The 13,502-nt window shown below is 39.5% G+C and overlaps 1 protein-coding gene across 24 annotated transcripts in view; it reads left to right on the top strand.

Moving 5' to 3' along the window:
• Positions 1-13,502, top strand: part of NCALD (neurocalcin delta) — a 438,366-nt gene that overhangs the window by 340,933 nt on the left and 83,931 nt on the right. For 8 of the 24 annotated variants that reach the window (NM_001040629.2, XM_047422317.1, NM_001040628.2 and 5 more), the window contains one exon: positions 3,996-4,051. The exons of the other annotated variants lie outside the window; for them this stretch is intronic. The gene's annotated coding sequence lies outside the window, so the exon portion shown is untranslated. The remainder of the gene's footprint in view (positions 1-3,995; positions 4,052-13,502) is intronic. 24 annotated transcript variants of the gene reach the window in all.

The raw sequence follows: 13,502 nt of genomic DNA, 5'->3' as shown, positions 1-13,502 counted from the left end.
AATGAGTGAAATGCCTGTGTAGAGGGCTAAACTTCAGGTACATATGGATTATTAAATAGACTTTTGTGATTTGGCCTAACCTAACCTAATTTCTGGAGGAAAATATATTTCTGTTACCAACCAAATTACAAATGAGCTTTTGGAAATTTGGAACAATGTCCTACAGGTTAATGCTGTTGCTGGTTCTAGGAAAAGATTTGGGCTACACTGAGGCCAGACTGCATGCCTTAGCAAGATCTCGCTCATTGGCCCCCACTGACTGGGACCCTCCCTGCAGGAGAGTGCAGTGTGGATGGCAGTACTCGTATCATCTGTCCTAGACCATCATAGGACATGCTCAGTCCTCCTTGTCCACTTTGTCTCCCTCTCCCATACCTACTCTGTCTAAATTGCTGCCTACTTTTCTATTGTTAGAAACTGCTGTATCTTTGACACTATTTTGGCCCATTTCCTATGCTTCTAGGGCAATGTTTTCTGCTCTACTGGTTTGTAGTAAAGCTAGGGTATTCTCCTTAGCCAGGTAAAATTTAGCTAATTCAACAAAATCTTATGCCTCTTAACAAAATTGCCAAAATGGCAGCTGTCCCATTGGTCTGTGGCTCCATGTGTTGGTCAAATCTAGCATTTGAAATCCTCAGAAATGTGGTCCTTGTGTCCTTACTCAAAGAGGCATCCCTTTCCCTTCTGCTGTAGAGAAATCAATGCCCCAACTCTCTTCTCACTTACTTAAACTTCACCCCATCCTAATAGTCTACTCCTCTTCCCTTAAGAAGACTCTCATTCATTTATTCATTCAGCATTTGTTAACTCTGTACAGTGAGCCCTAGAGTTAAGTGCCTATGAAAATATTCCTTTCATGTCCAAGGACTGCTAAGGTTTCTCCAGCTGTTCCTCATTTGCTTACCATAGACACAGGGCAGATGTGGTGCAATCACCCAGACTTTTCAATAACCGGGATATATCCCATCTCATCCAAGATATTTCAGCTAAGTAGGATACTGCATGAGTAATATAGGACCAGCCAGTCTTTGAAAAGGTAACAGTCTAGTTAGGAAGGCTGGATGGCATCTGCATTTGAGGGCCAGAGCTACGTCTTCCACACTGGCTACAACTTCCCACAGTGCCCAGCATCATGCAGGACATACAGTGCCTCCTCTTTACATCTCTGTTAGGTGATTAGTGAACAGATTAACCCCAGAGGATATATGGCATTGAGATGACTTTGGAGAGGAAGTGAGCTTTGAGTTGGGCCTAAAGGATAGAGAGCGTCTGGCATGAGGAGCAAAAGTGAAAGGATAATCCTTCATTGAGAAGCATGATGAGAACATTCTAGTGACAGAAATAGGACACCTCCCCACCTGGAGTCAAGAACATGGTTGGGAAAAGGAAAAAATATATAATCTATATGGTGGGTCCATGGAGGATCTAGGATTTATCCACTTAAGCTGGATTTGATCTGATAGACACTAGGAAGCTGGGGAAAGCTGGGAGCAGGGAAGTGATGTACATGTTAAGTGGGGTGAGAATATTTTAGTGACTCTGTTTCTTTACACAGCTCATTTAAATCCCTGAATATGTGCTAAGTATTTTTGTCCATTTTTCTCATAGAAAAGTTTTAACTTCTTAAATTTTAAGAAATGTGAATTATCTTTTGCCCTCCGTAGGTGTGAGTAGCCATTTTAACTTTAGCTGGGTTATATCCGTAGGCAAAGCTGTGTAACTTCATAGTTTTAAACATATAACCTATTACTCATCAAAGTCATACTCATATAAGTTCCAAACCAAATGAACAAGTCAAGCCTTTAAAACATTTTCTATAAAACTATACTATAATGAGTATACAATGAAAATTTATATAAATATATATTATATGTATATTTATATATATATAAAACATACAATATATATATACTGAAACCCCTGAGACACTGCACATTATTCTGAAAAATCTTTGAATCATGTCACCAATGAAAAATTAGGTTGTGTTCAGTGAAATTTTAGTTGTAAGTTATGAGTGCATTGCATTACATTACACCTGAAATCTTTGAATACTGATCATCAATATAAGTGTCTGGCAACTATCAGAATGTTCTTAACCAGAGCATGCCATCTTTAAGAAAAATATTATAAATTATACATGCAAAAAAGTGTATATAACATATATGTACAATACAAAGAATAATAGAAAACAAATCCCTGGGTAGCCAACAAAAACACCATCTGTTAATCATTCTAGTGAAGAGTAATGCGTTGATATTGATGATAATTTCACTCTAGTAGCACACAGATTAGTACTGTCCCTAAGGTCCAACACCAGAAGAAATTGAATCGGTGATATGTTTTTTAACTATTTGATCACATAAAGATTTTAAACCAGTTGAGTCATTTATTTCAGTCTCTGATGGTGAATGAAAGGTATGTTTTCCACTTACAAAACATCACTTGCTATTGCTGCTGGCAATTGTGAAGGTTTGTAAATTGGTTTTTGTGTCGAGAGGCCTTTGCCCCAAGGCCATTGCCCATGTTGTGCTCCTTGTCACCTCCCAGCTATTCAGGAGGGAATGGTGAGGGAACCCTTGGTGAGCCCTGAGCTCTTGGTACAAGATCTGTATACTTAAGTTATTTAAAATGAATATTAATAGAAGACTAACATAAGACTATCTGAGTATATTACTAGGACTAGAAAGTCTCCCAGGTTGAATGGGACAACGTGGTACCAACCTTGGTACAAGCCCAACTGCCAGGGGTAGTTAAAGCAAACCATTCTCTCTCTCAGGGTATATATATATATTTTGGTATATTCAGAATATATTTCACAAAATAGAAGCTATTTAACCATTAAAGATGCAATCTTTGGTCCAAATTCCACTTTGCAAAAGAAATTGTCATTAGATCTGTTTGTGCCCACCTTGAAAAATGTTGATCAACTTCCAATTTTTAAAGGTCGATCTGTTACTATTTAGAAATAGAACTCTCTTTCTCCTCAGACTGTCAAAACAGCCTACGGATTATAGCCAAGGACTATACTGTTAATGAACCAAGAGTTTATTAACTGTTCCATCAGCATCCCCATCAGGAGGGGTATTTTGTTAGAGTCACAAACAGCACAAAACTTAGTTATGCTACAGGTTAACTAAAAGACACTGATTTTGAAATACTGTAAAAAAGGAAAGTTTTCACTGAAATCATGTTATATCATGTCTGGATTTAAAATTAACAGGGACTTTTTTTGTTGTGGTAAAATATGCGTGTAAAATTTACCATTTTAGCCATCTTTATGTGTACGTTTCAGTTCACTAAGTACATTCGCATTGTTGTGCAACCATTACTATTGTACATCTCCAGAGCTTTTTCATCTTCCCAAGCTGAAACTCCAACCCCATTAAACTCACTCCCTATTCACCCCTCCCCATCAGCCCCTGCCAACCACTGTTCTTCTGTTTTTAAACAGGGACATTTTGAGGGAATTTAAAATAAACCTGTCCTTCCTCTTCTCTTGCATAAGCTATTCAACTAATAAAATATCTGTTAAAAGTCCTAAATTAATTGGAAGTTTCTTAGGTTTAAACACATGGGCAAAATGTACACAAAAAAATAAACATCTGTTTCATGACAGATGTTTTAGACCTACAACACTGGGAATGTGTTCTTGATGTTAAAGGAAAGGAGATGGTAGGCTGAAGCATGTGTTCCAAATCACTTACTTAACCCAGTGCAATTTTTATATAATCACTCAACTAACCAGCCATTCAACCTGGGAGACTTTCTAGTCCTAGTAATATACCCAGATAGTCTTATGTTAGTCTTCTATTCATATTCATTTTAAATAACTTAAGTATAGAATCAATATATGTTTATGGTTGGACATTTGGAAAACACAGAAGAATATGAAAAAGAAAAGAAACATCATTCTTAATGTTTTACTGTCCAAAGTAACAACTACTAATATTTTAAAATTAAAAAGCATTACGTTTAATTTTACTTTATTTCAACAGAAGAAAAAGAACTCTGAAATGAAATTGAGGATTTGAACTTCACACAGCTGTTTGAAGTAAGAGTTACTGTTTCTAACTAATTTTAATTTATTAAAAATTAAAGATCAAACTTTAAGAGATTGAGGATTAACTTAAAAAAACATTGTTTCATAATGAGTACAGGCTTATATTTTTAGTTAATAAAGCTTAGTTAACTGTCTCAGGAAGACAGAAAAGACTGCAGATAATCAAACAAAAATACCCTTGGTTGGGAGAAGGGGTTTTAAAACAGAATTCAAAACCTAATCCCACCTTTAGGATTGTTCTCTTGGTGAAAATTATATAAAAAAGGGCAATCCGTAAGGAATATAGTTCATGAAGTCGTAAACCACTGCATCTAGTGACCTTCCCCTTTGACCAGAGAGGCTTAACTTTGTTTGCTTCTAATACCAGTGTTTTTTACATTCCACAAATTGTTTAAACACATACTACATTTTAGTTTGCTATATTTGGGCCATAATTGCCCTTTATGTATATTTATTTTTCTAAAGTTTCTAATTATCTTTGTCTTCTCTGACCTGGAGAAACTAAAATCTTCAGTACATATGTGGCATGTCATAGTTTAATTGTTGGTGCTTAATTATTAGTCATGGTAACCTCTTTCTTATTGAAGATGCTCTCTACTAAGCCCTCTGTGCTACCATTTAATGTGGACTAGATTTAAGCTCTTCTACTAGAATTTCTTTCCATCACAACTGGATTATTTTCATTGTCTCCACATCTACCCCTTTCTTAGACTCATTTTCAATTTTGCTAGAGCATATTTTTAATTTTTTTCAAAATAATAGAAGAAGGGCTGTATCTTTGTAGATCTTCATTTTGCCCTCATAATTGAAAAATAGACGCCAAATTACTTTCCATCACAATTTTATGGACTTTGTTTCACTGTCTTCTAGCAACCTGGAAAGCAGATGCAGAGTCTGCTGCCATTTTGATTTTGATTCCTTTATAGGTAGCTCCATCCCCCATCCCTCTCCCATGAACTTTTAGGATTTTCTTGTTGTACTTGGAGGTAATAAATTTTACCAGGAAGTGTCCAGATATTTTTTAAATTATTATTCCTCTTCAGGTTTTTTAAATCCAAAGATTCAAGGTTTATTCAGCCCAGAAAAATATTCTTCTATGATTTATTTGAAGTGTTCATCTCTATTTTCTTTGTTTTCTCCTCTAGTAGCTCTTACTATGGAAACGATACTAGGTCCCTTAGCTCTAGGAGATGTTAGGTCTCTTGGATCTCTCCTCTATGGTCTTAACTTTTTTCCCATATTTTCTTTCTTCCCTTTTATGTGCATTCAGAGGATTTTCTCAATTTTGTCTTCTGGATCTCAAATTTATTTTTGAGTCATTTCATTTCAATTATTCAGACTTTCCACTGAGCATCTTTGTAAAATCATTTTTTATATTTATGAATGTAGACTTTTCTCTCAAATATCCCTAAAAGTATTACTTTAAAAAAAAAAGTTACCTTCTTTGTCCTTTGTTCCAACTCCATTTCCTTTAGTATCAGATGTTCTGTTGCTCTTCTGGATCCTTCTTTCATATGTTCTATGTTTTCCTTCAATAACCAGTAACTTTTGACTGGCCCAATCATATTTATAAATGAAGGGCTGGGTTGACTGGCCCAATCATATTTATGAATGAACGACTGTGCTGACTAGTAGAGGTGACTGGAGGGATTTCTTTGGCAGTTACGTAGGAATGGTTTTCCACCACACTTCTCTTCCTGAATGGAAAGGCTGGCAGTTCGGCTCACAGGAGGCACATGTGACAGTGGGAAGCAGACAGGCAAGCCTGTGACTGTCCTGACTGCCAGGACCAGGAAGGCTTTATTTTTAGGGATGAACTACTTTTATGTACTGCCTTTCTGTACAAATCTTAAAGGGGAGTAGAAAGAGATGGAAAACAACATTCTTCATAGTCTTTTTATTAATTGCCTTGACTGTTCCTTCTCCCTATGGCTCCAGACCTGAATTCTTCAGGGTTCTGTTGAGAAGAACAGCTCTCATCTCTTCATTAGCTCTCTCTAAAATCTCTTTTACATTGTGGTTTTTGTTGGCTCAATCCAAACATATCTGTTGGCTATTTTCTATAAATTTCTTAAAATTTCTGTCTGCTGATGGTAACTTTTCTTGATTTCCATCCCAGTTCTTGATTTATTCTTTTTCATACACATTTTCCACCACTTAGTTGGAATTTTTGAATGAAGAATAGGCAGACTGTCATGTCTAGTCTGCCATCTTGAAGAGAGATTTTATTAACATCAGAGTGGCTGCCCCAGTGTGCTGATGTATGATTGGCACGAGGCCATGGTACATGCCTTACTTTTTATAAGGCTATTTCTCCTTCTTTCATGGCCCAGACAGCACCCCCAACCCTGATTGACCATATGATCAATATGGGTCATTTATACAAGGAGAACAAAGTGAAAATAGGTGGGTCACATGAGCCAATTCCATTCATCAGATCCACAATATCTGCCTCAACCAGGTACTGTATCATTCTTCAGGACTCCACTGAGTCCCATTCCTAACTTCCCCAGTACTCCTGTCAAATACAAACCTAAATTAGACCACTAACCATACAGTTCTACAATTTTCTGTCTGTCTTCTCCATTAAGCTACAAGCTTTCTGAATGTAAACATGGTGTCTCATTTCATATCTGTGTCCTCAGTGCACCCCACGGGGACTGGGATTAAGTACCCAACACAGACTGAATAACTCAGGGACTGAATGAATGAACAAAGAAATGAGCAAGCTTGATGTTGACCTGGGAAACAGGTGTGTTGTCTTTCTTTGCTGATGGGGCTAGTGACCTCCTTTTTAGTCATGTGAAGCTTTGGAGGAGGGTGTTTCAGGCAGAAGGAGCAGTATGGATGAAGGCCCAGTGGCAAACTGGGACATGTCTTTTGGGGGGAGACTGGTGGAAATTGTTCCCAAAGGGCTGTTGATTATTAATTCATCCAAAGAAAATCTCTAATCTCTGTTGTATCCTCTTCTGCAGAGTGGTAGTCTGACTACAGGGTTCTTATCTTTGCCAGTTCAGTGAGTGCAGGTCTAAATAGAGCTGTTTTGTTTTAGCAGAAAGGTTGCGTCCGCAGTTCAATAGGTGTCAGTAAATGCTCTTTCATGGTTCTATATAATCATGATTTAAAACCTACATCAGTCTTCTTTGCAAATGTACATTAAAGCATCTGCTTATACTTGTATTAAGTAGCATTACTTGTACTAAGTCCTCACTTCACAGGGACATTATGAAATCACAGACAGCTTAGAATGGAGCTTTCAAGTTGTCCTTGGGCCCCTGTTGCCTGCTGGAATGGATAAAGCATGACCCCCTCAGCCAACAAGCTCTGCTGCTTGTTGTGATGTTTGGTAGAACTTCCTTGCTCCAATGCCTCCGACTCCAGTCACCATCTGAAAGTCCTCCCCAGAGGTTGGAGTGCTTTGCCTCCTATTTCTGCAAACTTAATATTAAAAAAAAAATTACTGGTTGTCAAAAGGAAGCAGGCTGTTAATTCCTGGTTAATTGAAATTAGTCTTGTAATTTTTAGATGTGTTATTCTATTCACAAAGCAGGTACCTGATAAGTGTTTGTCAGTGAGTGAAAGAATGAATGACACATTAGAGGAAAGACTGGGTTTGTCTTTCCTGAAATTGGAGTTAAGGGGCACATTTGCTGGGAATTATCCCAGGTAAGCACAGGGATGTGCTTTTGATCACAGGCCATTTGTTCTTTCCATTTTAGCCATTTTCAGTCTGATCATTCATCTCTTGTCTTTGGGAATAATTAATTTCAGGTTTTAGAACATTACTAAAGACATCTCAGTGGAGTTCTTTTGTTTGTCTATAACAGGATTGTCTGGGGTTCATGCTGTTCCCAAGGATCTCACTCCTCACTTGATGAGGCAGAGACCCTGACTCCAAGGGCGTACCCATCACATCCCCAACTTCTCAGCATCAAACTGGGTTTGTTTAAGAATGAAGCCACTAGCATTAGAAGTGTGACAGTATAAGACAGGATATTCTCAGTTGTATGACTCAGGAGCCACCTTGGCAACCATCAGTGAAATGCTAGGTTATCCTAATAGGCTAGTGAGGTCTTGGAATGCTAAGTGTAAAGTCAGTGGCATAAAGGGACACGTTCTCAGCAGCCCTTGATGAAGTCAAGACTAGGGACACCAGGAGAGAAATGGCTGCATGAAGGTTGCACAGGCAGAGAAGATAAGGTTCTCATATTACTCCAACCTCCATCTGGATCTGAGCTGCTGGGTCAGTGGAGAGGAGCACCAGCCCAAACTGATCCCCCAGGGCTCTTGGTTGGAATCTTCCCAGAAGCCTGAGGGGAGAGGTATAATGTCTAAACACAGGGCCCTCCAGTCACTGGCATCAGAATCAGAGCCACAGCAGTGTGGTTGAAAGAGGCAGATTCCTAAGGCCAAATTCAGAACTTTTGAATCAGAATCTACAGAGGTGGGGCTTGGGATCTGCCTCTATAAAACCTGTGGTGATTCTTAACGCACACCAGCTAAACGTTGAGAGCCTCCTGTACCTCCTAATCTCTATAGGTATCTCGAGCTGTGGACAGATTGCCAAGCACCAGAAATTTTAGCCAAGCACATGTGCGGTTGGCACATAACATGAGAGGCAAGTTCTGTGCCCTTGAATTTAACAAGTAGTGCTGGAATACAGGCACTATGTTAGGCCTTGATGGCAATTCTTGCCTTTAGGGGACAGTAAGTTATGAAGTCATAATCTGTACTCCGAGCCCAATGTGATGAACCATATAGCATCACTAACAACTCCTGTAGTGGATTTATGCCATTGGTGACAAAGAGATCCGATGCCAGTAGGAAGTTCTCAGTCCAGATCACTACACAACTGGGAAAACAACCCTGAGCAAGTTTCCTATTTGTGAGGAGCAACCTAAGGATGGGACTAATCCACGAAGCTCCCAACAGAACTGGCACAGATCCCCTTAGTAGGGCTGCCCAAAAGATTGAGGCTGTCAGACCTGGATATCTGGGCACCCTAAGTTGACAAGTCTAAAGGGCAGAGAGCATGCTGCCTTTGTCTTTGTCTTCCTAGAAGACCTAGTGCAGCATTCAGCTTATAGTAGATAGAGAGAGCCATTGTTAAATGGTTCTTATGCAAACAAGGCTGACCTAGGTGCTGGGCCATGTGGGAATGTGGAAGCGGAGAGCCCAGCTAGTGGGACTGACATGCCTTGGGTAGATCTTCTCACATTCATGGCGCCTATTGCCTCCGCCATGACTCACTGCCCATGCACTCCATCACTTGTGAGACAAGATGTGACAAGCAGGCGCTGAAAGTTGTGCCTTGTAACCTAAATATGTCTCTTTCTTTTGCTCTTTCTACCTTCATGGGAGTAAACCTCTCTTCTAATCACACATGAGTTAATGTAAAGTTTTCAGAAATTAAATCACATTTCCCCAATGGTTAACTTGATCATTTCAGAGTTACATCATCATTGTGATTTTTTTTTCTCCTCAAGGGTAATAAATTAATGAACTATGCACAAGGGAAGTTTCTATTTTAAGAAAGCTGTGTGAAGTGGAAGAATACTTTGTTCAGTTATTTCTTTCATAGTAGGTCTCCGCCTTCTTTAAGCTGAAGCACACCTGTTTCAAGGAAAACAGTTGGCCAACAAGACAGCATTGGCTTTGTGGGAATGTGCCAAAGAAATTTCAAGATATTGTATTCTTTTGATTCATATTCCCAAGTTGCTCTCCAGAGGAAATATACTAGCAGAAGGAGAGAATAGCAGCCATTTACAGGTAATTAGTGAGTCTATGGTGTATGATTCATTGAATTCCATTCTAGATCCCTATTTATAATTATTGGAGATTTCTTGGCAATGCTTAAGAGACAAATTACCAAAATCCCCTTACTTGTCATAGCAGCATTTTAACTTTGCATAAGCGGTACTCCATGACCACTGAATTAGTCATTTTTCATTACCTACGTTTAAGGTATGTTAACATTAGTCCTCTTTAATAAATGAGAAAACAAAGTCCTAGTAAAGTTGATTCTGGCCCAAGAGCACATAATAATCAGAGTCGTGTCCATGATTCTTAAACCTCTTCACTCTGAGAAAGCACGTGTTTTTCAGCGGGAAATAGCCTCAATGGGAGGTACATAGGCCAACATTTAGGAAATGTGTTTTTATTTATATAACTAGTCCTATGTTTAGAAAAGGAATATTCAACTCTAGTCTCACATAAGAATCAGCTAGAGAGCTTTAATAAAATGCCACTGCTGGGGCCTCTCTCACAGGAGTTCTGATTCATTTGGTCAAGTATGAGGCCTGGGCATTGGTCTTTTGAATTAGGCGGGGAAAAAGCTTCCTAGGTGATGCTCAGGTGCAGGGAGGGTTGTGAATCCTGGTCCTGGCAAAATTCTAAATCTGACCCCACAGTTTCACCCATGGTCTCCACCATCCTACTATTAGAGCCCCTGCATGTGGAACCTTCTGGAAACTTATACAATTAGCCTGGCTTACAGCATTTTGTTATCAGAGAGGGAACATTTGCACAGAGTGGTTTAGCAGTTGAGCTGTAGTAGAGCTAGATTGCTCTGGCAGAGGAACAGGGAGAGAAGAACAAACCCACGGTATTGTGCGCTGAACTGACTGGTGAGGGAGGGGTGCAGCTGAGAACCCTAGGCTGCCTCAGGATCATGACTGGACAAGAGTGCCATGCTCCCAGGCAGGGCTTCTTGAAGATGAGTTGGTAGACCCTGATATGGAATGGAAAATCAAGGGAGGCTTCTTGATTCAGAGCAGCATGCCCTTTGAAGTCAGACTGCCGGGGTTCAAATCCTGGCTCAATCACTAAAGCTTTGTGACTGAAGCTTGGGCAAGTTACAGTCTCTCAAATGATTCATTTCCTGATTTGGAAAACAGAAGTAAAAAATTGCAACTACTTCATAATTTTTGGGGACAATAAGATGAGATAATATATGATATAATATACTAGGGTCTACTCCTACCCCTTTCTGGGGTCACTGGATCACCATTAAATTCTCTCTATTAAAATGGGGATGGACCATGACCCTCTCCTTTGAGGTAACCCATTCTCACAAGGAAATATAAGGTTAGATTTAAGATGGTGAACCAAATGTTGTCCCAGAAGCAAGAGATTTCATGGAAAACAATTTAGAAGGGAGGCCCTTGGCTTCAGAATAGTAGAGTAGAGCCATGGGACCCATGATATGTCCTTGGACCAAAGAATGAGAACAGGTACCAGGAGGCCAAATGGCATTGTGACCAGACTTGGGTCAAAGAACACAGAAAGCAATCAAAGCCTGAAATTATGGAGCCAAGTCCTAAGAGAATTGATAACCCAGAAACCAAGGAAGGTGTCCAGGGCTGAGGGCAGTGGGTTCAGGAATAGCATGCTAGAGAACAGGTAGAGAGTTGTTTTGTTCTCTGCCTCCTTGGAGAGTTCGCTAAGCCAAGGGGTTCCCTGAAGTCCAAATCTTAACAGGCCATTCTGACAAGTGTGTTTGCCACTAGGAAGATACGATTTCTAAATCAGAGTCCTTGGATTCTGCTCTAAGACTGTGGGCCTGTCGGCATTTCCCACAGTGGATCCTACAGAAGGCTGGTTCTAGGGTTGTTCCAGGATAAACATATTTGCTAGATGAATGAAAGTTAGCATGTTTCTTAATTGGAAGACTTTTCAGTCCTTTTAATTTGCTTGTAAACCTCTAAGAGGAGGATATGATAAGACACGTTTCCCAAACTAGTTTGACCATGGGACCCTTCTTGGCATTAGAATCCCCAACTCCTACAGTTTTTGCCATTTCAACTCAAAGCTTCTGCCTTTAGGCTAGACCCAAGTCTAGTCTCAGGGGTGTGTAGAACTCTCTGTGGGATGTGGCCTCATTCCCAGGTCCCTACCACTCAGGTAGAGGCACAAGATGAAGCTGTAAACTGAGTGGAAGGCCCAGGCCTGCCTTGATCATATTCTGTCTGGCACATAATTGCGACTCAGTGCCTATTTGTGGAATAATTATTCATTGAATGAATGGGATAACCTAGTTCATGCCAAGCTCTAATTGCTGACATAGATAGTACCTTGCGTATATCCAGGGTTAAGTACCCAACTGACCTGAACTTGTTGGGGAGATGTGTTTTCTTAGGCTATTTTGTATGAAACTAAGAATAATAAGGCATAAATTGTCCTGATTTGGTGCCTTTCTTTTCTCACTGATCCAAAATGACTTCATAATAACCTTGCCCATTTCACTTCAAAACAGTCATGAAAATGGTTTGCCAAAATTAAACTCTTCACAAATATAAAATATAATCCTAATAATTTCCTTAGGCATTAGATGCATTTGTTGATGTCCTGGTAGGCCCTGTAGTACCTGGTCTGAACCTTTGTGAATATCTAAGCATATGGCAGTAAAGCCTGCCCCCAAGCATGTTTTATAACCACAGACTTTGCAAGTTTAAATGGAGAAGACAGATGAAACAAGAATGGGCTATTTTCCTTGACTGTTTTATCTTGAGTAATATTTATTTTGAGCAGTTTTCTAAATAAGCAAAGCTTTTCTTCTATGCTTCATGCTCCTGCATCCTAGGAATGATGCATTTTGTGGGAATTTTTGTCCACCCCACCTCCACCCTGAACTTGCTGATCTGGAGGTACCATGATGCTAGCTGGAGTGGTCCCTGCCAAGGCTCTGCAGAGGGTCATGTCAGACACAGTCCTAGCCAAGGCTCTGCCTTGTGTGGGCGCCATATCTTGTTATTGTTTGTGGGTTTCATCCAACTGCACCTACCCGATAGCAGTTCTTTTTTTATTTTTATTTTTTGGAGGGGGTAGGTAGAAAGAAAAGAAAGTAACTTTGATATAGGGGTGGGGAATTGGAACTTAGATCCACAGCTACAATAGCAAGGAAAGTGAACTAATTTTGTCTGAACCCTCTTAGTTGCAAGATGTGTTTGAATTGAAGCATTAAATTTAAACCTTATTATCACACATAACAATGCATAAAATACAATGGCCATATTTTCTTAACCCTGCATTGTAATACGGCCTAAAGATTTTATCTATTTTTTAAAAAATGTATTTATATAAACAGTCTTCAACCCGCATAAAGATGAAACCACATTTAGTTTTAAATTTAAAAAATCACTGTGTTGAAAATAAAATCATTTGAAATCATGACTTTTGGGAAATCTTGACTGTGGCTGTCTCTGCCCTGTGCCTTGAGAGAGAAAGAAAGACTTGGAAGTCTGTGCTACTTGCCAAGTGTGTCAGGAGTCCTGCTTGTCCCAGATGACAGCTGGCACACACAGACAAGCCACTCGCTCTAACTTTGTTTTTTCCTGGTAAAGAAGTAGCAACTACTTGCCAGCCTGCTTCTTCTTTGCAGGAAGCCCCCCCAGGAGTTTGCATAGTCAATCTGTCATTTGAAATCATTTATTCAGTTTAAAGC

The sequence above is a fragment of the Homo sapiens genome, chromosome 8 (assembly GCF_000001405.40).
Source record: "Homo sapiens chromosome 8, GRCh38.p14 Primary Assembly".
NCBI lineage: Eukaryota > Metazoa > Chordata > Mammalia > Primates > Hominidae > Homo > Homo sapiens.
Note: the sequence above shows the minus strand (reverse complement) of the source record. Positions and strands in the feature narration are given on the sequence as shown.